At 42.7% G+C, this 24,394-nt stretch overlaps 1 protein-coding gene across 39 annotated transcripts in view, besides 1 other annotated feature; it reads right to left on the bottom strand.

The window, feature by feature from the left end:
- KANK1 (KN motif and ankyrin repeat domains 1) overlaps positions 1 to 24,394 on the bottom strand; it is a 275,809-nt gene that overhangs the window by 98,893 nt on the left and 152,522 nt on the right. The gene's annotated exons all lie outside the window — the stretch shown is intronic.
- Positions 21,195 to 21,395: a silencer, noted in NCBI's record as "peak7200 fragment used in MPRA reporter construct". NCBI's record gives its function as "represses an SCP1 promoter by STARR-seq MPRAs in K562 erythroleukemia cells {active_cell/tissue: K562}" and the evidence as "EXISTENCE:reporter gene assay evidence [ECO:0000049][PMID:32103011]".

Here is a 24,394-nt window from a genome sequence, read left to right as displayed (position 1 = left end):
CAAAAATACTATGGATGAATTTATCTTATACAGAAGGCTTAAATCCATGGCAAATTTATACTTGGTTCTAATTAACTTTGGATGTCTCCCTCCCCACTCCCCACCTATGGCTTAGGCCAGATAACAAAGTCATGGGGATGGCTTCTGGAAGGCCTAGTAACTCAAAGCCAAATTCCTATAGCAAGGGAAGTGATTTTTACAATGATGTTTAAGGGGTGTGCATAGTAGCTCACGCCGGTAATCCCAATACTTTGGGAGGCTGAGGCGGGTGGATTACTTCAGGTCAGGAGTTTGAGAGCAGCCTGGCCAACATGGTGAAACCCTGTCTCTACTAAAAATACAAAAAAAAATTAGCCAGGCGTGGTGGCATGCACCTGTAGTCCCATCCCAGCTGCTTGGGAGACTGAGACCAAGAATTGCTTTAACCCGGGAGGCGGAGATTGCAGTGAGCTGAGATCGTGCCACTGCACTCCAGCCTGGGTGACAGAGAGAGACTGTCTTTAAAAAAAAAAAAAAAGATACTTAAAAAACAAAAATGATCAGGCGAACTGCTCTATAAACTGTCCAGTTTCTAGGGACATTGTTATCACAGCACAATACAATAATATGATTGAAAATAATGAACCTAACTGAGAGATGATTAATCATGTTCAACATATTATTTTACAAAGTCTGAAAGCATATAACTTCAGAAAGTTTTCAAAAGAAAATTATTCAAGTGAGAGAGGAATACAGAAGATATAATTAGAGAGAGAACTCATGTACCATTGGGAAAGCTTAGCTTTTCAGAATAGCTTATTTTCAGACGAAGAAACATAACCTACATTTTTACTACAATTTATTTACTTATTTTAAATTTTCTTAAATTTTTTTTTTAGGTAGATATAGGTCTTGCTATGTTGCCCAGACTGGTCTTGAACTCCTGGCCTCAAGTGATCCTCTAGCCTTGGCCTCCCAAATCACATGCTGAGATTACAGGCATGGGCCACCATGCTTGGCTTACAATTTATTTTTAAATATTTTTCCACCTATTTCCTTGTGGTGTCTGGTGATAATCCCTATTTTCTGAAGATCTGTATGGCTGTCAAAATAGGTATCCTAAACAAACTTAGAGAAACTTACAAAAGGAAACAAAGACTTTATTAGATGTCTACCCTGCCCTGAAACTATCAGCTCCATGGGTCTACTACTATGCCTCAGACCTCTTGTTATTCCTACGCATCATCCAGTCAAATGGGTAAGCATTCAATAAGTGTTTGTTGAAATAAATCTTTTAATTTTGTGGCTAAATCATGAGATAATTTCCTAATGCTTTGTTTTTGTTGTATAGACCAATGTGTGTCTATGAAGTCATATATATATAATATACACATTTTTTGAGATGGAGTCTTGCTCTGTCGCCCAAGCTGAAGTGCAGTGGCACGATCTCAGCTGGCTGGTCAGGATTACAGGTGCATGCCACCACCACACCCGGCTAATTTCCGTATTTTTAGTAGAAATGGGGTTTCACCACGTTGGCCAGGCTGGTTTCGAACTCCTGATCTCAGGTGATCCGCCCACCTTGGCCTCACAAAGTGCTGGGATTACAGGCATGAGCCACCACGCCCAGCCTGAAGTCATATTTAAAAAAATGAAATCCCTAATGTATAAAAATTGATAATTTTATACATTAAATAATTTTTAAACATTAGGGATTTCATTTCTTAAAAATATGACTTCTTTTATTTCACTGTTTTTTATCTTAAGGCCTTTTTTTTTTTTTTTTTTTTTTAAGACACAGTCTCATTGTGTCACACAGCCTGGAGTGTAGTGGTATGATCTTGGATCACTACAACCTCCACCTCCCAGGTTCAAGCAATTCTCCTGCCTCAGACTTCTCAGTAGCTGGGATTACAGATGTCCACCACCATGGCTTGCTAATTTTTGTAGTTTTGTATAGACGGGGTTTTGCCATGTTGGCCAGGCTGATCTTGAACTCCTGACCCTAAGCGATCTGCCCACCTCAGCTTCCCAAAGTGCTGAGATTACAGACGTGAGCCACCATGCACTCCCTAAGCCTAATTCTTTTTTTTTTTTTTTTTTTTGTAGAGATGGAGTCTTGCCCCGTTGCTGAGGCTGGAGTGCAGTGGTGTGATCTCCGCTCACTGCAACCTCTGCCTCCCAGGTTCAAACAATTCTCCTGCCTGAGCCTCCAGAGTAGCTGGGACTACAGGTGCACACCGCCATTCCTGGCTAATATTCTTTTGTATTTTAGTAGAGAGAGGGTTTCACCATGTTGCCCAGGCTGGTCTTGAACTCCTGAGCTCAGGCAATCCGCCCACCTCGGCCTCCCGAAGTGCTGGGATTACAGGCGTGAGCCACCACACCTGCTAGGCCTAATTCTTAAACAAAAAATGTCACAGCAGAATTCAGTTCCTTTTCACACAGGTTAATAGTAATATTAATGCTTGATATGGTTTAGATCTGTGTCCCCATCAAGTCTCATGTTGAACAGTAATCCCGAGTGTTGAAGGTGGGGCCTAGTGGGAGGTGATTGGATCATGGGGGCAGAGTTCTCATGAATGGGCCAGCACCATCCCCTGGGTGCTGTTCTGGTGACAGTGAGTCAGTGAATTACTGTGAGATCTGGTTATTTAAAAGCGTGTAGCACCTCTCTCCTCTCTCTTCCTCCTGCTCTGGCCACGTAAAACGTGCCTGCTTCCCCTTTGCCTTCTGCCATGATTCTAAGTTTCCTGAGGCCTCCCCAGAAGCCACCATGCTTCCTGGCCTGCGGAACCCTGAGCCAATTAAACCCCTTTTCTTTATAAATTGCCCAGTCTCCAGTATTTCTTTATAGCAGTGAGAGAACGGACTAATTAATGCTTCTCAAAAGGGTAGCACATACACACAAATCATAGGTAGTCACCATCTTGACTGAAACATTAGTGACCATAACAATTTATAAACCTGTGTTTTGTTTAAGTGCTTTCCCAGAAGACACTATAGTTCGGTCTCTAGACCTACAAGGCTAGGATAGGATCTGCTCTACTTCTGCTTCCTCTGTTATAGAGATTAAGAAGACTGGCGACTAGCATTACCACATTATTAGCATTCTACTGAATGTAGAAGAACCAATGTAATCACTGCATTGGTAAGAACAAATCATGCTTCTAATGACACACCACACTACACTAGGACATACATTTTCTCACATGCAAAAACAAATCAAGGCCAGGCGTGGCAGCTCACGCCTGTAATCCCAGCACTTTGGGAGGCCAAGGCGGGTGCCTCAACTGAAGTCAGGAGTTCGAGACCAGCCTGGGCAACATGGTGAAACCCCGTCTCTACCAAAAATACAAAAATTAGCCGGGCACAGTAGCAGGCACCTGTAATCCCAGCTACTCAGGAGGCTGAGGCAGGAGAATTGTTTGAACCCAGGAGGCGGAGCCTGCAGTGAGCCAAGATCATCCCACTGCACTCCAGCCTGGGCAACAGAGCGAGACTCTGTCTCTAAAAAAAACCCAAAAAAAACAAAAAACCCCCACAAATCAATGCTAGGCACATTGGCTCACACCGGTAATCCTCACACTTTGGAAGGCCTATGCAGGAGGATTGGCCCAGGAGTTCGAGACCAGCTTGGGCAACACAGAGAGACCCTATCACTACCAAAAAAAAAAAAAAAAAAAAATCAAAAAGAAAAAAAGCAAATTCTGGTTTATTTATGTTAAAAATCTTTTGCTTTTAAACCAAATTCTTCGGGAGGAGGCCCCTAGAGCTTGGACCAAAATTTTGGGTAGGTATTAAACAACAACAAAAAGTACTGCAAAAAGGATCTTATTCTGCAAAAAAACATTTAAGAGTTAACTAGTATTTGAAAGATGTTTTTAAATGGCAAAAAGCAGATCTTAAAACAATAACTACAGTAAAAGTAATCAAAAAGATATTTAAAGGCAGTGGCTTTGATGCTTATGAAAGTTATGGATCTTCTCATTAGAAAATACAGACACACACAAACACACACCAAAAAATCTGTATGAAATTTCAAAGGAAGATGGAGATGAATGAGAGTCACTCCCCATCTTCAACAGATCCTTGGTTCAAAACTTTTGCTTTAAAGAATAAGATCTTTCCAAATGGTGATCTGACCAGAATCTGAAAAATGACCTATCCTGTGCTATTTTTATATGTTTCCAAATAGGCTTTCCTCTTTTTTATTAAAAGGTGCCACCATATTTAATATGGAGCTATAAAGTAGAAGAAAAGGAGATAAATTACTTAGTAATAAACATGCATTAAAAAAATTTAGAACGCTAAGCATACTTACCATTGCCATTACTTCGACACTGGCTTTACAAGGAGAAAAGACAGCCAAGGAGAGGCCTAAAAATAAAACTCTCAAAATACCAAAAGGAAGGACTAACTTTCTTCCATCTATAGAAGCAGCTCACTAGATAGAGAAAAAAAAAAGGTGACAGGCACCTATTTATTGTGAAAGACAGAGAGAGAAATTAATTTGCCTCTAGAAATCCAAATAAATTTCAAGTAAGAGTTACCTGCCACAAAAGTTCTTGTCTGGCTTGAATTTTTCTCCCACTCAAAGGAGGGGAATTTTATCAGCTGGTAATTCATAGAAAAAATATAAACCATCTCTCTGTTCTAGTAGCTGAGTGTGTCCAAGAACCAAGAATTTTTCTACAGGAAATTTACAAAAGTGACCTTATGCACTACCAAGATTAGCAAAATCAAACACTTGTTCAAAACCAGGCCTGCCAGCTAAGCTCTACTCTTCTTGTAGTTTTTAGTTTGTTCAAGTGTAAGTCAATTTAGAGAAGCTGCTGTAAAAATAATGTCGACTTTTTAAGGTTAGGGAGGATGAGGAAATGGCTTTTTGTATGTGACCCTCAAAGGTTATTCCCTTCCGCTATCTTTGTAAAACACAAATGGGGTAACTTAACCACGCAGTTTTCTGCAGACTCATTTATTCTACGACCTTTCATGCTTTTATGATACAGAGGTAACAAGTCAGGAAGCACAATGAGGAAAGAGGTTAAAAAGCCCAGCATCTGCCGTGTCAGAAGTAAGCTGGTTTAATCCGCACAGAAATCCAAGCCAACAGTTCATGTGAGCTCAAGCTTTCTGACTATGGGCATCCTATCTCCAGTTACAACACAGTATTTAATATACCCATGGACACAGAAAGTAGAATAATGATTGCCTAGTGCTGGGGGGTGTGTGGTGGTTGGGGAGGAAATCGGCTTTTGATTGCCAATGGGTATGGGTTTTCTTTTTTGGGGTGATGAAAATGTTCTAATGTTGTTTATGCCAATGGTTACACGATTATGTTAATTTACTAAAAACCATTGCATCGTATACTTTAAAGGGTGGACTGCATGGTTTGTGAATTATACCTTAATAAAGTAGTCCTTAAAAAACCAAAATGTATGAATTTCCTTGTCATTACGATCAGGGTAAGCTGGTAGCTGAAGGTTAAGACAGGATGAAAAGGTGTTACAAGAAATGGCAAGAGAGTAAGATGTAAGATAGGTAGAGAAAAAAATCACTGTGTTCTTTCTCACTGAATCATTCCTCCATCAACAAAGGACACAGGCTACGCTTCCTTGCAGTTAGGATTTGAGGATGCCTCTGTTCCGAGTTTCTTCAGTACAGGGTAATATGCCTTGGAATCCCAACGCTTAGAACTCCCTAAACTTTGTGCAGCAGCTCCATTTGCATGTTGTTCATGGTGGTGGAGATGATCTTAGCCATTTCATAAAAGAAACCTGTCTCTTGGAAAGGATATACAGAGTACTAAGAAACAAGGATCACCACCAAGATGGATGTTCTACTTTCCTTCCAATGACCAAAGCAGGTATCTGATAAGGAGGATTCTTCTAACTCAGGAAACGACGATTAGGTAAAAGACTTTTATTTGTTTATCTGATAAAGACAGATTATACACATTCATGTCCAGACTATCCTTAAACATACTGTTCATATCTGATTGCATTAATTATCAGTTCCATGGGAGAACCCAGTTTCTTACTGCATTTCTCACCATCACAGGGCTTCTTCCCACACTGGACTACATTTTTCAGGCTTGAAGTATATCACTGGTATAAATGGAAAATTGGTTTGGGCTATCAACATGGCTCTTGGCAGCATCTATTTAAAAACTGACATCAAAATTTAGCTCTCTCTTTTAAAATTTCACTGCAACACAGACATTTAAAAGTGGTGGCCAGGCGCGGTGGCTCACGCCTGTAATCCCTGGACTTTGGGAGGCCGAGGCGGGCAGATAACAAGGTCAGGAGATCGAGACCATCCTGGCTAACATGGTGAAACCCTGTCTCTACTAAAAATACAAAAAATTAGCTGGGCCTGGTGGCGGGCACATGTAGGTCCAGCTACTCGGGAGGCCAAGGCAGGAGAATGGTGTGGACCCGGCAGGCAGAGCTTGCAGTGAGCCAAGATTGCACCACTGTACTGCAGCCTGGGCAACAGAGCAAGACTCCATCTCAAAAAAAAAAAAAAATTAGGCCGGGCGTGGTGGCTCACACCTGTAAACCCAGCACTTGGGGAGGCCGAGGCAGGTGGATCACCTGAGATCAGGAGTTCAAGACCAGCCTGGCCAACATAATGAAACCCCATCTGTACAAAAATACAAAAATTAGCTGGGCATGATGGTAGGCGCCTGTAATCCCAGCTACTCAGGAGGCTGAGGTGGAAGAATCACTTGAACCTGGGAGGCGGAGGTTGCAGTAATCCGAGATTACACCATTGCACTCCAGTCTGGGAGACAGAGACTGACTCTGTATAAAAAAAAAAAAAATTAGCTGGGCGTGATGGCATGCACCTGTAATCCCAGCTAATCGGGAGGCTGATGCAGGAGAATCGCCTGAACCCAGGAGGTGGAGGCTGCAGAGAGCCGAGATCACACACTCCAGCCCAGGCGACAGAGCGAGACTCTGTCTCAGAAATATAAAATAAAATAAAAATGATGTGTGCCCCCCAAAAAGGAGTTTCCATTCAGATGGACTACCCCTGCCTGAGCAGTGAGAATGAGAAGCCAAGAGTCTTTAACCTCATGAAGCATAGAGTTGGGAATACAAACTCTTGGTTTCTTAACTCAAATGTGGAGTTATCCTAAAATGAAGCTGAGTACAACGAGGTCTGAGAGACTGCTATGGTTCTCAATGTTTTGTGTCTCCCAAGATTTACATTTTGAAACCCAACCTTCAACGGGATGGCATTAAGGATGGGTCCTCTGGGAGGTGATTAAATCATCAGGGTAGAACCCTCACAAATGGGATTAGTGCCCTTACAAAGGGTTTGAGGAAGCTTGTTAGCTCTTTTGCCCATCTGCCATGTAAGGACATAGAAGGCACTATCCTTGAGGAACAGGCCCTCACCAGATACTGAATCTGCTGTCATCTTGATCTTGGAATTCCCAGACTTCAGAACTGTGAGCAATAAATTTATGCTGCTTATAAATTACACAGTCTGTAGCATTTTGTTACAGCAGCCTGAATGGACTAAGACGGAGACTTTACTTACAGCCTGAGACACACACAGAAGGCAGAGGGTGTGGCACTGTTTGGTAAATCATCTAAGATCAGGCCAGGCGCAGTGGCTCGTGCCTGTAATCCCAGAACTTTGGGAGGCCGAGGTGGGCAGAAGACTTGAGGCCAGGAGTTCAAGACCAGCCTGGCCAACATGGTGAAACCCTGTCTCTACTAAGAATACAAAAACTAGCCAGGTGTGATGGTGTGTGCCTGTAATCCCAGCTACTTGGGAGGCTGAGGCAAAAGAATCCCTTGAGCCAGGGAGGAGGAGGTTGCAGATCGTGCCACTGCACTCTAGCCCGGGTGATAGAGTGAGTCTCTGTCTCAAAAATAATAATAATAAATAAATAAAAATAAAATAATCAAAGATCAAATCTCCATGTGAAAAGAAAGTGAACTCTTGCCACACTGATTACTGCCAATGATAAGAATGAGAGAAAATTAAAGGGAAGGTGTATATTTAAGTGAAATAGGGTGGAATGTAATCCCAGCTGAAGTAAAATGACAGCTTTGAAGAGACCTGTTGAAGCCTAGTGAAACAAAGTGTTCAGCAATCAGATGTGTGGGGGGAAAGCATGTCCTAAGAGTGTTTTTATGGGACTCCTGTAGGAAGGTAAGACTTACACTGAGGTGTGATTTCTGTTATGCACTATTCATTTTATGAAGCTTCTAGATCACTGACTTTGCTCAGGTGAACATATTAAAATACACAAAAATAAGTACAGTCAAATCCACTTGCTCAGCCATAGGAAAAAGGAATGAACTACTCCTAAGTTGTCGACATTGCTGATGCCCTTTTATCTGTCTCTTCCTGGCAGTAACACAGTCAAATTGAATGGCAGAGAGAAGAATAATTCTCTGGAAGGGATAGAAGAGAAAATTTCCATACGCTGATGGAGAATCAGAGGAATCTACAGAAAAGAATTAGAAGGAACCAAGTGCCTCTTCAAGGGCAGATCGCAAATTTAACAAGTTTATGAAAGACAACAAAGTCCATCTATCTCAAAAGAATGGAAACTCAAAGTTTGCCCAGAACCTGGAGGTAAAGAACCAACATATTCTTTGCCAAATATTTTGCCTTTGGTTGAAAAAACACATTGAGGCACTTTACAGAGCTGGTGCTAACAATATAACTCGAGCCCCAGTGGCCAGGAAATAAGAGATTTATCTGAAACTCTGTTTATATGTTTATCCTGAAACAAACAATCTCTCTGACATAGCAGAGGGTAACAAGTTAGTTACCTTACTGAAAGGCAAGATGATGATGAGAGCAAAACCTCAGGACCCATGTAGGAAGAGAAAGCAAAAGTGGCGAATATGATTCAAGTGACACTCCAGCTCAGCAGGCTTTACTGGTATCAGCAAGAAGGCGTTTACCACATGTCCCCCTGATCTTGGACTTCTCAGCCTCCATAGCTATAAGAAATAAATTTCTTTATATGCCATTCAGTTTTAGGAATTCTATCATAAGCCACAGAAAATGGGCTAAGAAACTATTCAATGACTGCTTTGTTTGTATCTTAAGGATTATATTTGATAAGAAGTTCTGGATCCTCCATTTCAGTTTCTCTAATAGTTACTGATACTGCATAAGCTTGGCTATTAAACAGTGTGCATCTGTATGTAACCTGGATGTGATGCCTGGCACTTCTACAGCCATTCTGTCACCATGCAGAGTGAGTCTGAAGATGTACCAGCACATGGTCCATGGCACAGTGGAATAAAGAGTAGGAACCAGAGTCTCTGATGGTTTCATTGAACCACTGAATCAACCAACCCCAAAAGCTGCTTTTGGGACTTATGAAAAATATTGGCTTTTCTTATGCTGAAGGCAATTTCCCATCTGTCCCAGTCTAATAGTTTTTAAAATATATGACATTGGTAGTCTCACATGAAATACTCTGAGTACCCACTATTAGGAAAAGTATCTGACAAGCACCTCCCTAAAAAAATTCTAAACATCTTAACATTAAATATTTAACTAGAAAAAATATACACTCGTTCCTGGCTTATTTCTTGATCCCATAGGACAGTGGTTCTCAAGTGTGGTCCCCAGATAAAGCATTAGCATCATCTGGGAACTTAACAGAAATACAAATTCTCAGGCTTCACCCCAGACTTGGTGACTTAGATATCCCTGAAGGTAAGTCCCAGCAATACGTACTTGAGTTAAGTACCCCAAGTGATTGTGATGCATGCTAAAATTTATGAAACTTTGCTGCAAGAAACACTACTTATGACATCAGCTATCAGTCATCATTAGTCACAATGAAATGAATGTTGAACCATACAAAATGGGCTATACAAGTGCCACCCTACCCTCCATTTTCTAAACAAAGTACTGTCACAGATGATGAAAGGCCAGAGAAAAAATGAACATTCAACAAATGCTGGAACAAAAGCTTTCACATCATTATTGTGAATAGATAATGAGACTACTTGGTAGTGTTTGAAGGCAACAGAAGACCTGGGAATAGCAAACTTGAGAAAGAATAGGGTTGAGAGAAGGACAACTCTTCCAATTACCTAGGAGAGGCTCTGCTGATACAGCAGAAATTAAGGAGTTGTTGGAGGAGTGGAATAAAGTAGAAACTGTCAAAAAATGGAGAGAAGGGGCACATAACTGGATGAAATCAATAAAGTACTAGATAAAATATTCCTGAAAGGTATAAACAAAGTTTTGAATAGGGGACTACAGAAGGACTGGCAAAGTCTAAAGTGGCTTGGTTTAAAAACAGTCTCTGAGGGAAAGGTTGGCTCTCTGGGCCTAAAGGAAGGGTTTCTGTTTTGTTTATGTTTTTATTTTGAGACGGAGTCTCGCGCTGTCGCCTGGCTGGAGTCCAATGGCAATCTCGGCTCACTGCAACCTCCACCTCCCGGGTTCATGCGATTCTCCTGCCTCAGCCTCCTGAGTAGCTGGGATTACAAGCACACACCACCATATCTGGCTAATTTTTTGTATTTTTAGTAGATATGGGGTTTCATTATGTTGGCCAGACTGGTCTCGAACTCCTGACCTCGTGATCCGCCTGCCTTGGCCTCCCAAAGTGTTGGGATTACAGGTGTGAGCCACCGCACCCAGCCAGGAAGGTTGTTTAAAGGTGTACAGGACAGAATGCCCAGCAAGTTATGAAGTGGACAACGTTTCGGACTCTGTTGATGGGAACTGACTGAGCCTCCATGATCTCTTTAATATTGTCCTGAATGCTGTGGAACAGAAGAGAAATGAGATGTTTACAATCCAGGCAGGAAAAAGATAAAAGGGAAGGTGGATATTTAGCCATCAAACACAAAAGAAACCAGGACATACCCTGCATGATCAGCAGTGCTAATATGAGAAGCAGTAATATATGGCAGCAGTCTGGATAAGAGCTCTGAAAAGTTTGAAATTATTCTGATAATTCTCAGCCAGGAGAGTTCTGCATATAAAGATCTAAGAGCAGAGCTCTCAACCTGGCCGCCACTAGAATCCCTGAGAACTTTTACAAAAACACCCTAGGCCCTAACCCAGGCCAACTGAAACTGAATCTTTAATTGATACTTGGATAGGCATATTGTTTGAAAGCTCCTCCAATAATTCTGATGTACAACCATTTATTTGTCTGAGAATATCAGAAAAACAGTAAAACTATGAAAATCTAAAGGCTATATGTACCACGCAGAAACTGAGTTTGTGCCTCATTAAGAAGGAATAAAGCCAGGCACGGTGGCTCACACCTGTAATCCCAGCACTTTGGGAGGCTGATGCAGGTGGATCACCTGAGGCCAGGAGTTCAAGACCAGTCTGACCAATAAAGTGAAACCTGTCTCTACTAAAGTGGTGTGCACCTGTACCGCCAGCTACTCGGGAGGCTGAGACAGGAGAATCACCTGAACCCGGGAAGCAGAGGTTGCAGTGAGCTGAGATCGTGCCACTGCACTCCAGCCTGGGCAACAGAGTAAGACTCCGTCTCAAAAAAAAAAAAAAAAAAAAAAGAATAAAAAGGAATGTGGGTAAATGGATGAAGGGACATTAATAAATTGTGAATGCCACATTAACTTTTTCTTATTCTACTCATATAGAATTCTTACTATTCTAATAATAAAAAGGGAACACTATTATTCCATTTTGAAGACTAGCTCCAGTCTCAAGGGGCTGATATGACTAGGATGTAAGAGTACTTCCATCTGTGCGTGGTATTAGTCTTAGCATTTTGGGGAAAAGGTTTGCACAAATAAAGTCAGGGTCTGTGGTTCTCTACGAAGCACATGAAGGAATAGAGAGCAGCGCAGGCATGCCCCAAAGGACCTCAGGGTCCAGCTAGAGAGATATGACCTTCACACAGGTGGCAAAGGGGTAGAACAGGGAGTGCGCAAGGAAAGTTCCATGGAGCAAAGCGAACTCGGGTATAGGCCTGGGGGGCTGGGTACCTAAAATCTAGAGGGGCAGAGAGCAGGTTTGGTGGTAGGCAGGCACAGACTTTTTAGGGTCACCATGAGGTCAGGATGGAAGAGGGACATACAAAGGGAGAAAAGGAAGCCCTGTAGTCCTGGTGGTTGACTCTCCACCTGTTCCCCCATGCTGGTTACCATAATAACGGCATTCCCTTTACCTGTGATTGGTTTGTAAAGGACCATGTGACTCATTTTTGGTCAGTGAAATGTAAGATGTTCTCTAGGGTGCGTCTGGAAATGTTTCCTTACTCCTACAAGAGCCACAAGATGCCCTGTCTAGATGTGATGCCTGGCACTTCTGTAGCCATTTTGCCAAGAGGCAGAGCAAGTCTCAGGATGTACCAGTGCATAGTGGATGGCAGAGTGAAGTGACAATAAGAACCTGGGCCCCTAATGATATCAGTGGGCCACTAAATCTGAAAGTCCTTTTGCAAAAATGATGACATTGAGAGAAATCTAGCATGGTTCAACTCCATCTTGCTTCTGGCCTCACAGGCTGGTTCATTCCTGGGCATGGGCTAAGATAACCACGGGAGAAATTTAGTTTGTAATTTAACTTTGAAACAAGGATGATAACAGTCCCTCCCTGAAACTCATTCCCTTCCTTGTTCAGGTGCTGAAACTGCCTTTGTAAGACTAATAAAGGCCACAAGACTAGAATAATGGGAGGGGCCTGAATTCTGCTAACATGTAAGCATACTTTCTATAATCTCTTACTGCTCAGAAGTCAGGTGGCCAGAGGTTGCAAGGTTTGTGACTTCCCCAATTGCTCCTATAGATAACATCACTACTATAGAACCTAAGATTAGTCTTTTGAGATGCTTGTCAGACTTTTGCATTCAGGCAACCGAGTGACCCCACCGGGAGCCAGGACTCATAACTCAACCAAGGAAGTCCAGAGATGGACTCAGTGCAGGTGAGGTGGCACAGGATTAGACCATTTTGCACATCCCTATGATTTCATCCTCAACCAATCAGCAGCACCCATTCCCTAAGTCCTCCGCTCACCAAACTATCCTTGAAGAGCCCTAACTCTCTGAGCCTTTGGGGAGATTGATTTGAATAATAACTCCATTTTCCACATTGCTGGCCTAGCATTCATTAAACTCTTTCTTTACTGCAATATCACAGTCTCAGTGAATTGGCTTTGTGTGTGCAATTGGGCAATTACAAATTAATTAACCCCAGAAGTTCATTTCTGAACTTATGAAAAAGATAAACCTTTCTTACCATGTAAGGCAATTTGTTTCAAGGTTTTCTTGGATTTTGACTTGCATCTATTTATGGCTCAGTGCAGTGGCTCATGCCTATAATCCCAGCACTGTGGGAGGCTGAGGCCAGAGGATCACTTGAAGCTAGGAGTTGGGCCCAGCCTGGGCAACATAAGGAGACCCTGTCCCTACTAAAAATAAAAACTTAGCCAGGTGTGGTGGCATGTGCTTGTAATCTCAGCTACTTGGGAGGCTAAGGCAGGAACACCCTTTGAGTCTAGGAGTTCAGGGCTGCAATGAGCTATGAACATGCCACTGCACACTAGCCTGGGTGACAAAGCGAGACCCTGTCTCAAACATTAATAAATAAAACATATTTAAACAGTAAGCCTGGAAAGATGAGTCAGAATGAATTATTGAGAGCTCATATGCCAGGTTCAGGAATCTGGATACAATGCTATGGACAGACAGACTACATTAAGAGTCTTGGGAGAAGGGGTAGCACTGTTGGAAGTAACTTGAATGGCAAGACAAAAAAAGGTGTTTTTTTTGTTTTGTTTTGTTTTTGAGACGGAGTCTCGCTCTGTCACCCAGGCTGGAGTGCAGGGGCGCGATCACGGCTCACTGCAACCTCCGCCTCCCGGGTTCACGCCATTCTCCTGCCTCAGCCTCCCAAGTAGCTGGGACTACAGGCGCCCGCCACCACGCCCGGCTAATTTTTTTTGTATTTTTAGTAGAGATGCGATTTCACCGTGTTAGCCGGGATGGTCTCGATCTCCTGACCTTCTGATCTGCCCGCCTCGGCTCTCAAAGTGCTGGGATTGCAGGCGTGAGCCACTGCGCCCGGTCAAGGGTTGGGTTCTTATCAATAGTCCATAAAAGGTTTCATTAAATATCCTTCTTATGGGGCACTAAAAGTGAGTGTAGAAAAAGTCACGATTGGACAGAAAATGGTAGGAAACCTCATAAGATGTGGAGGGAGGGGGCCATGTTACCTCTGCCGTTTTGCTTTGCTAAAACACTCACTCTCAGGCTGGGAGCAGTGGCTCACGCCTGTAATCCCAGCACTTTGGGAGGCTGAGGCAGGTGGATCACCTGAGGTCAGGAGTTCCAGACCAGCCTGGCAAACATGGCGAAACCCCGTGTCTACTAAGACTACAAAAAAAAATTAGCCGGGTGCGGTGGCGCATGCCTGTAAACCCAGCTACTCGAATGGCAGAGGCAGGAGAATCACCTGAACCCAGGAGGTGTAGGCTGCAGTGAGCCGAGATCTCACCACTGCACTACAGCCTGGGCAACAGAGAGAGACTCCATCTCAAAGAAAAACAAAACAAAACAAAACACCACTCTCATTATCTCATGAGGATCAAAGCAGATAATGTGATAATCAATTACAAGATAAATCCTCAGTGTGACTCCACGGAATGAAAATGTCCTCCCCTGCCTCTCACCTTGGCAGTCCAAGGTGCATTTGAAAGAAGTTGTAAAAAATTACAAGCTGCTTTATTTTTCATAAAACCTCCATCTTCACCAGTTACAGTATATGTAGTAATTATCTTTTCCATGCTCTCAATAATTATCTTCTTAACCAGTTTTTAAAATATTTTCCATTCAACTTTCATTTTAAGATTAACAATACAATTACTAAACCACTGATTCCTTTAACCTCTTCTCTTAGAGCCCTAAGGTAAAGCTCAATTATTGAGACAAATAATTACATGCTGTAGATGTATCATCCTAGATATCAAAATCTAGGGGCATGCAATTTTAGTAATATTTTTGGCCAAGAAAATCTGGAAAAGCTGGCTGCCAATATCTGATGTTAAAGGAAAATATGAATTCTGACTTCAAAAGAAGTTCACTGCCACTTTCTAACGTTTGACCATACCTAGTCAAACTTAAATTGAAGGTCAAATGTTATTTCCTTTTCATTGCCTTTATTAAGTGACTGTTAAAGGCTAGACACAATGCTACGGAGACAGGGATTAATGACACAGTCTTTGTACTCATGCAATACAGAATGATGGAAGAGAAGTTATCATGGCATACTGTAATTTAACAGTATGTTAAATACTTATCCTATTGGTGTGAGCTGAGAGCTATAGAGCCACAGCGGTAGATAACCCAAACTGGTATGTGAAGAAGGGTTATCTGAGGACACCACCCCTGAAATGAGGCTTAAAGATGACTAAATTGGCCCCAAAGGGGAGGAAGTACAGTCTTCAAAGAGCACCCAGAGCAGATGCAAAGGGAAGAAGAGACCACAGAATGGGGTGTGTGAGGAGTTAAATATGCAAGGGATGGATGACTACAGGTTTTGCATGCCAAGCTAAACAGTTGGACTTTATTTTGGAAGCAGCAGGAGTCACTGAAAGACACCTGAGCTCAGAAGCCACCATATTGGGTTAGTTTTCAGTAACTACTGCTCTGGCTGAGATGAGGAAAACGACTTGCCTTGCCTAGAGGAGGAGGAATGTGGAAGAAGGAGATCCTAAGAGGGTGTTTCAGTGCACAGGTATAGTGGGGAATTAGGAGGGAGGTCTGGGCTGGAAGTACAGATAAGCCTCAGTGCGTGGGATGGCTGAGCTCAAGGGTATAGTTGATGGTCCTCAAGGAGATGAAAGGAGAAGTCTTAAATCTTGGATGGAATGCCAAGGAGACTATGAAATTTTCCTGGTTAAGGCTGCCCAGGGGGAGCCCCACAAATCCTGGGGTGCTAATGAGGCCGCACAGCATTTCTTTTTCCGTGTGGGCTGCATAACTTGCATAGATAATTCTGCTTGCTGGGCATAGGCTGTACTATATATTTAATCTATTTTCAACTCAACTTATAAACTCATGCCCTTTGTCTCAAAGGCAAAGGAGTAAGGAAATATTTGTGGTACAATGCAAAACGTATTAACGCTGAACAGAAACAACAATAACAGCAGCAAAAGACACATATCACTCCTAGAACTGCTTATACCAAGATACATATTTCTACCAACCAGTCATACCCTCACTTGGCCTTTTCCTTAAACAATCAACAACCAGATATTGACTAAGCACTTTTTGTTTTGTTTTGTTTTTTGAGACAGAGTCTTGCTCTGTCACCCAGGCTAGGGTGTGGCGGCATGATCTCGGCTCATTACAACCTCTACATCCCGGGTTCAAGTGATTCTCGTGCCTCAGCCTCCCAAGGAGCTCCTCTACATCCCGGGTTCAAGTGATTCTCGTGCCTCAGCCTCCCAAGGAGCTGGGATTACAGGCGCCTGCCACCACACCTGGCTAAATTTTTGTATTTTTAGTAGACACAGGGTTTTACCATGTTGGCCAGGCTGGTCTCAAACTCCTGACCTCAGGTGATCTGACCGCCTTGGCCTCCCAAAGTGCTGGGATTACAGGCATGAGCCACCGCGCCCAGCCCTAAGCTTTCTGCAGCCTCTCTCACCTTCCACCTGAAACGAAGCTACTCTTCAGGTTATTACTTTTTATCCTTCTGAGTCTCGCTCTGTCGCCCAGGCTGCAGTGCAGTGGCGGGATCTCAGCTCACTGCAAGCTCCGCCTCCCGGGTTTACGCCATTCTCCCGCCTCAGCCTCCCGAGTAGCTGGGACTACAGGCGCCCGCCACCATGCCTGGCTAATTTTTTTGAACTTTTAGTAGAGATGGGGTTTCACCATGTTAGCCAGGATGGTCTCCATCTCTTAACCTCATGATCCGCCTCAGCCTCCAAAGTGCTGGGATTACAGGCGTGAGCCACCGTGCCTGCCCCCCAACTCGTTTTTTTTCTTTTTTTTAAGACAGAGTCTCGCTCTGTTGCCCAGGCTGGAATGCAGTGGTGCAACCTCAGCTCACTGCAGCCTCGAACTCCCAGCCTCAAGCAGTCCTCCCACCTATGCCTCCTGAGTAGCTGGGACTATAGGCACATGCCACCACGTCTGCTAATTTTTGTATTTTCTAGTGGAGACAGCGTTTTGCCATGTTGGCCAGGGTGGTCTTGAACTCCTGGCCTTAAGTGATCGGCCTTTCTCAGCCTCCCAAAGTGCTGGGATTACAGGCGTGAGCCAGTGCGCCTGGCCTTCACTTTTATTCTTATTATTCCCTTTGTTCTTGAAAAACAAGCATTCTTCCACTTATAGATGAACAAAGTGCGTAGTACAGTGCCTGACACACAGAAAACACTCAGTAAATGAGTCATTGCCTGCTGTTTAAAATATGGTCCTCTCCCTGAATCACTGATTGGGGTGCCCATTCGTCTAATTCTCCTCTCTACTTTGTTATGCCAATTCTCTCTACATACGTATACAAGGTGTTATATCTCCAACACGTTTGTACTATAGGTTACAACTGTGAGGCACTGTAACTGAGTTGTTTGAGATCTCCTCTGGGAGAAGGGAGAATCAGGTATCATTTGTTTCTGCTTCAGAGACCAATGCACTTCTCTCAGGATGTGTTTGGATGTTTATAATTTATTTATATGTGATGGGCCTTTACAGAAGGCAGGAGAATAGTTAAGTTACTGAATCATAAAATGTCATTGCCTTTCCTAATAATGTATCTGAGCAGATGGCAAACAGCTACTTTTATGGCTTGTTTCTCCATTACACGTAGAAATATTTATTAACATTGTATTTCTGTCACATGTGTGCACCAGCAAGAAACCAAGTTAGGCAGCTGCCACTGTGGCTGGGGGAAGAGAGAGAGTGACTCGTGACCCACTCTGGTTTTTGTCTTAGCAGGTGATCAAGCAAAGCCTCAGCCTGAGGGAGGGGGAGCAAGAACATGGCTTACTCCCCTGGTGCTAAAAAGTGCTGAACAAGGCAACCCCATCAGCGGCTGGGAGCAACTCTCATGACAAAACACTGCATTTTATCAGATCTGAGATCTCACTGATCACAAACATACATTATTTTACATACTACAGAGAAAGGAAAAGCATGCAAGATGGGATTTTTTTTTTTTTTTTTGGAAACAGTTGTGCCCTGTTGCCCAGGCTGGAGTGCGGTGGCATGATCTTGGCTCACTGCAACCTCACCTCCTGGGTTCAAGTGATTCTCCTGCCTCAGCCTCCTGAGTAGCTGGGATTACAGGCGCCCATCACCATGCCCAGCTAATTTTTTGTATTTTTAGTAGAGATGGGGTTTCGCCATGTTGGCCAGGCTGGTTTTGAACTCCTGGCCTCAAGTGATCTGCGCACTTTGACCTCCCAAAATGCTAGGATTACAGGAGTGAGCCACCATGCCCGGCCCAAGATGGTAAACTGAACAGGTATCAGGGACCACTTGAATCCAGGGAACCAAATGGCCACAAAGAAACCCGCCATGCAGAAAGGGATGGCAAAGAGCCTTGGATGTTTCAACCTGGGAACTGGGCAGAGAGGGGAGGAATCTCCCCTGAAGATTTGAATCCTAAGTCAGTAGTTACTCTCATTTGCATTCTGAACTCACCACCACTGTGGTTCAAGTGCCCTCAAGCAGGGAATCTAAACTTTGGTCTTAGTTTACCAGCACCTCAAGTGACGAGCAGAGGCAGACACTGAAGAAATGAACTTCCATGGCAACTTTAAGATGTATACTGATTTCAGATGTTAACTATTAAAATACGTACATCTGTGAATATAAATACAGGAACCCCCCCTACTGGGAGGCCCATTACAGGAGTTATTCAGGATTTGGAACTAAGAATACCAAAGTTAGGAAGAAGGCAAGACAGAAACCAAAGTCTCAAAAACAAGATGAGGTCTGACAAGTTACCCACTGAAGGGAATGAAAGCACACTGGAGACAGGCAGAGTCAATCAAGACTCTGCAGCCAGGAGCAGGTTGAAGACGAGCAGGCTGAGGCTTAGTGCTACAGCTCCGTCCACTTGTTTTCGGACTTCAAGAGTCAGGAGAGAAGCTATCCCAGCTTCAATTCCTCATCAATAAGATGCAGGAAATACTCTCTAGGATTACTGAGGAAATGAAATAAGCAACTGTATTTTAAGTGTTTTATATACTGTAAAAGCATTGTGCCAATAAAATTATACTTGTTATTCTAGATACAAATATTCTGAATGCTCCTTTAGTCAGATTCTGTGTTTTTCTTTTTTTTTTGTTGTAATTTTCACTTAGCGGGGGCTGTATATAAATCAAGCCCTTAGTAAATTTTTATTTAGTGAATATATAAATACTGCCAGCATCTGGCCCTAGCCCTATTTGGCCTAAAATTCCTGAGGGCTGGTTATCACTATTGCTGAAAATAGAAAGGGAAAAACAAGAACAAAACCCACCAATCCAAGACAGGATATACTTGTGCTTAATTAAACAAGCACACAGCACTCTCCCATCCACCCTCTGGTCCCCCTGAAACTCATACCTGCAAAACCAAGATACGAGCTGGAATGACATGATGCTTTCAAAATAGCAGACTGAAGAAGACTCCAGAAGACAACTTTACAATGTATTAAACAAGATAAAAGGCAGCTTCAAAACAAGAAGATTGTTCATTACTGGCAAAAACACCCTCAACACCATCAAAGAGCAGCTTTGGAGAAGAGATTAAATTCTAGGTCCCCAGGAATATCCTGATAATCAAGCTTACCAGCAGAGATAAGAGAAAAAGGTCCTCTCCTGGGCACAATGCTTCCAGTGGGAGGGGGCAGAAGCTCTGTGGCTAGGAGGGGGCAGAAGCTCTGTGGCTAGGAGTGAGAAATCCTGGGCAGAAGATGAGGACTTCTATTTCCAACCTGGGTAGCCCTGGGTACTCAAATCAGGCTTTGTGGTTTAGGGAGAAGGAGGAGGGAATGGAGACTGGGGTTCTTCCAGGCTCTGCCCTCATCCATCACAGGTTTCTGGATGGACTTGTCCATAAAATGAAGAGTAGGACAGGAGGATCTAGGGCACAATCTGTATCTTACATTTCATGATTCTAGATTTCCCAGGATGGCAGTATTTAAGGAAAGGAATTCTGTGCTGTTCATTCTCTGTTGTCCAACCCCCACCTTTTTTTCCCCCTTGGAATAAAGGGTACAAGAAAAGAGCAAATCAAATAAATATGAAATAAAGACCAAAATAGCTACACAGAACACCAAAAGGAATGAGTTAGAATGTGAAGAGACTGAGAAGCACCGATGTACACCAGTGTAAAACACCAATAGCAGCCGCCTGTCTTCTATCTGGTTTAACACACTGTAAAGCTGTCTTCTGGAGTCTAACTTCAATCTGCTATTGTGAAAGCATCATGTCATTACAGCTTGTATCCTAGTTTTGCAGGTCTGAGTTTCAGGGAGACCGAGGGTGGATGTGAGAGTACTGTGTGCTTGTTTAAGCACAAATATATTCTGTCCTGAATTGGTGGGTTTTGTTTTTTGTTTCTCCTTTTCTATTTTCAGCAATAGTGGTAACCAGCCCTCAGAAATTTGAGGCCAAATAGGGCTGGGGCCAGATGTTGGCAGTATTTATTTATTCACTAAATAAGGATTTACTAAGGGCTTGATTTATGTACAGCCTCCTCCTAAGTGAAAATTACAAAAACAAAACAGAAAACACAGAATCTGACTAAAGGAGCATTCAGAATATTTGTATCTAGAATAATAAGTATAATTTTATTGGCACAGCTTTTTTTTGTTTCCTTTTTGAGATGGAGTCTCGCTCTGTCACCCGGCTCACTGCAACCTCTGCCTCCTGAATTCAAGCAATTCTCCCGCCTCAGCCTTCCGAGTAGCTGGGACTACAGGCATGTACCACCACGCCTGGCTAACTTTTTTATTTTTAGTAGAAATGGGGTTTCACCATGTTGGCCAGTCACTCCCGACCTCAGATGATCTGCCTGCCTCGGCCTCCTAAAGTGCTGGGATTACAGGCATGAACCACTGCACCCGGACGCACAATGCTTTTACAGTACATAAAATACTTAAAATACAGTTGCTTATTTCATTTCTTCAGTAATCCTAGAGAGTATTTTCTGTACCTTATTGATGAGGAATTGAAGCTGGGATAGCTCCTCTCCTGACTCTTGAGGTCAGAAAACAAGTGCACCGAGCTGTAGAATGCACAAATGGCAAACATTAAAGGGGAGGTCCAGAAAGTTGAATGGAGTGCAGGGGAGTTTCTGAAGTGACTGAAGGTGGGAATAAGAGGCTCAGGATGAAAATGATCATCTGGGGACCGTGGGGAGTGGTTAAAACCGGGAAATGAACCGAGTGGTGAGAGATATGGGCAGCCTAGAAAGAGGCTAAACTGTCACAGACTTTAAGTACACAGTGCAACAAACTCAGGGGCTCAGCTTTTTAAAGCACAGGTCCATGTTTGATCAAGGAGACTCAAAACTTCTTCCCATTCATTTTATTCTGAATACTTGTTTGATTAAGTCTTTCAGAATGTTTCTATGGGGGCTGTTTCAGTTAACAAAGCAGAGAAAACCAGAAACCTGTCTAAAACACTAATTTTTAAAGAGTGATCTCAATGTTGTTTTTTTTTTCCAGATACTCCTCGCACAAGAAGGTTTGTAGAAATATAGAACTTTTAACAACGGATAACTATGAGAAGGCCCAACCCAGAAGTTTCCTGTAGATTAAGAGAAAAGAAAAACAAAAATATAGGCAATCTTGGAGGCCCAAGATTTGCCCAGTAATAAACAATTTTTCTGGAAAACTGGAAACAAGGTTTATTTCACCTCAGTCAGGCTGTTAGCCAGTATTTTTGTTGGACTCAAGTTCTTAAAGATTCAAATGTTTCCTATTCTCAACCTCTGGCTTACAGATAAATACTTAACGGTTTTTATCTGGGGGCTGGCCCTACTTGATAAGGACTTATAAAACTGTACTAAAAAATATGTTTAAACAAATCTTTCCCGTGACAGTAGCAGTCTTTTCCTCCATGAGGAAATCTGGCTCTTAGAGCTGATCTGCAGGAATTCGCTGCCAAATAAGAGATCTGCGGGCTGTGGGTTTGCCCAGGACGCTAACGGTGCTAACTGCTGTACACCCTTAGGAGCACCTTTCAGACCCCAGGGCATCGAACAAGGCACAATTTCATCTTCCATTTCATTCCACTGCCATTTCATAATTTAGAAATTAAGGAACAAAAAAGTTAAATAGCTTGCTCAGGGCATAAAGTAAGTCCAAGTCAAGGTTTAAGCTTTTAAACTGAAGCCTGTCCGGCTGCACACCCCTTTTCCTCAGAGATGGGCTCTCACTGGTGGCTTGGTAAGGCAGCTATTTTTTTCATTGCGTTTTTAAAGGGGATATTGTTTTTGTTTGTTTTTTGAGACAGAGTCTCGCTCTGTCACCCAGGCTGGGGTACAGTGGCGTGATCTTAGCTCACTGCACCCTCCACCTCCCAGGTTCAAGTGATTCTCCTGCCTCAGCCTCCCGAGTAGCTGGGACTACAGGAATGACTACGCCCGACTAATTTTTGTATTTTTAGTAGAGATGGGGTTTCACTATGTTGGCCAGGCTGGTCTCAAACTCCTGATCTCAAGTGATCACCCACCTCAGCCTCTCAAAGTGCTGGGATTACAGGCATGAGCCACCACACCCGGCCTGTTTTCATCATTGTTTTTAATGCAACTTTTAGGATGCTTCTGATTTTCCTAATTTTATTGAGGAATAATTAATAGAAATTATACGTATTCAAAGTATACAATGTGATTATTTGATATAAATATAGATTGCATATTGATTCCCATAATCAAATTAATCAACACATCTGTCATCACACATAGTTACCCTCTGCATGGAGAGGGAAAAGACTAAGGACGCTCCCTAATCTCCAGAACATATTCATCTTATAAATGAAAGCTTGTACCCTTTGACCAGCATCTCACCGTTTCTCCCATGCCCCAGACCCTGACAATCACCATTCTACTCTTGGCTTGTGGATTCAACGTTTTTATATTCTACATATAACTGAGATCATACAGTATTTGTTTTTCTGTGTCTGGATTATTCCACTTAGCATAATGTCCTCCAGGTTCATCCATGTTGTTGCAAATGGCAGGCTTTCCTTATTTTTATGGCTAAATATTATTCTATCCTGTATATATATACCACATTTTCTTTAACCATTCCTAAGATAAATGGCACTTGGGTTGTTTCCATATCTTTGCTATTGTGAGTAATGCTGAAATAAATATGGAAGTGAAGATATCTCTTTGACATACTAATTTGATGTCTTTTAAACATATATCCACAAGTGGGACTGCTGGATCATATAGTTGATTTTTACAAAACTTCCATACCAATGTCCATAATGGCTGTACCAATTTTCACCCTAATAGCGTACAAGGGTTCCCTTTCCTCCATATCCTTGTCAAAACTTGTTATATTTTGTCTTTTTGATAACAGGCATCCTAACAAATGTGAGATAATATCTCATTGTGGTTTTGATTTGCATTTCTCTAATGATTAGTGATGTCAAGCACCATTTTTCTTTTTTTTTTCTTTTTCTTTTTTTTTTTTGAGACACAATCTCACTCTGTTGCCCAGGCTGGAGGGCAGTGGCATGATCTTGGCTCAATGCAGTCTCGACCTCTTCGGGTTCAGGTGATCCTCCTGCCTCAGCCTCCTCACCTCAGTCTAATGGGTAACTGAGACTATAGGTGCATGCCACCACGCCTAGCTAATTTTTGTATTTCTTGTAGAGACAGGGGTTCACCATGTTGTCCAGGTTGGTCTGGAACTCCTGGACTCAAGCAATCCACCTGCCTCGGCTTCCCAAAATGGTGAGATTACAGGCATGAGCCACCGTACCTGGCAAGCATCTTTTCATTTACCTGTTGGCTATTTGTGTGTCTTCTTTGGAAAAGTGTCTATTAAGGTCCTTTGCCCCACCTCCACTTTTTTTTTTATTTTAGTATTGAGTTGTACGAGTTTCTCGTATATTATGGACATTGACCTTTTACCAGATATATGGTTTGTAGACATTCTCTCCCAGCCTGTATGTTACCTTTTCATTTTGTTGGTTGTTTCCTTTGCCGTGCAGAAGCTTTTTGGCTTGATGTAGTCCCACTTGTATGTTTTTGCTTTTGTTGCCTGTGCTTTGAGGTAACAGCAACAAAATCATTGCCAAGGCCAATGTCAAGAAGCTTTTTTCCCCTGTGTTTTCTTCTAGAAATTATATGGTTTCAGGCCTTACCATTAAGTCTTTCTTTTCTTTTTTTTTGAGATGGAGTCTCGGTCTGTCACCCAGGCTGGAGTGCAATGGCATGATCTCAGCTCACTGCAACCTCCGCCTCCCAGGTTCAAGC

Source organism: Homo sapiens, chromosome 9, assembly GCF_000001405.40.
Source record: "Homo sapiens chromosome 9, GRCh38.p14 Primary Assembly".
Taxonomy (NCBI): domain Eukaryota; kingdom Metazoa; phylum Chordata; class Mammalia; order Primates; family Hominidae; genus Homo; species Homo sapiens.
Note: the sequence above shows the minus strand (reverse complement) of the source record. Positions and strands in the feature narration are given on the sequence as shown.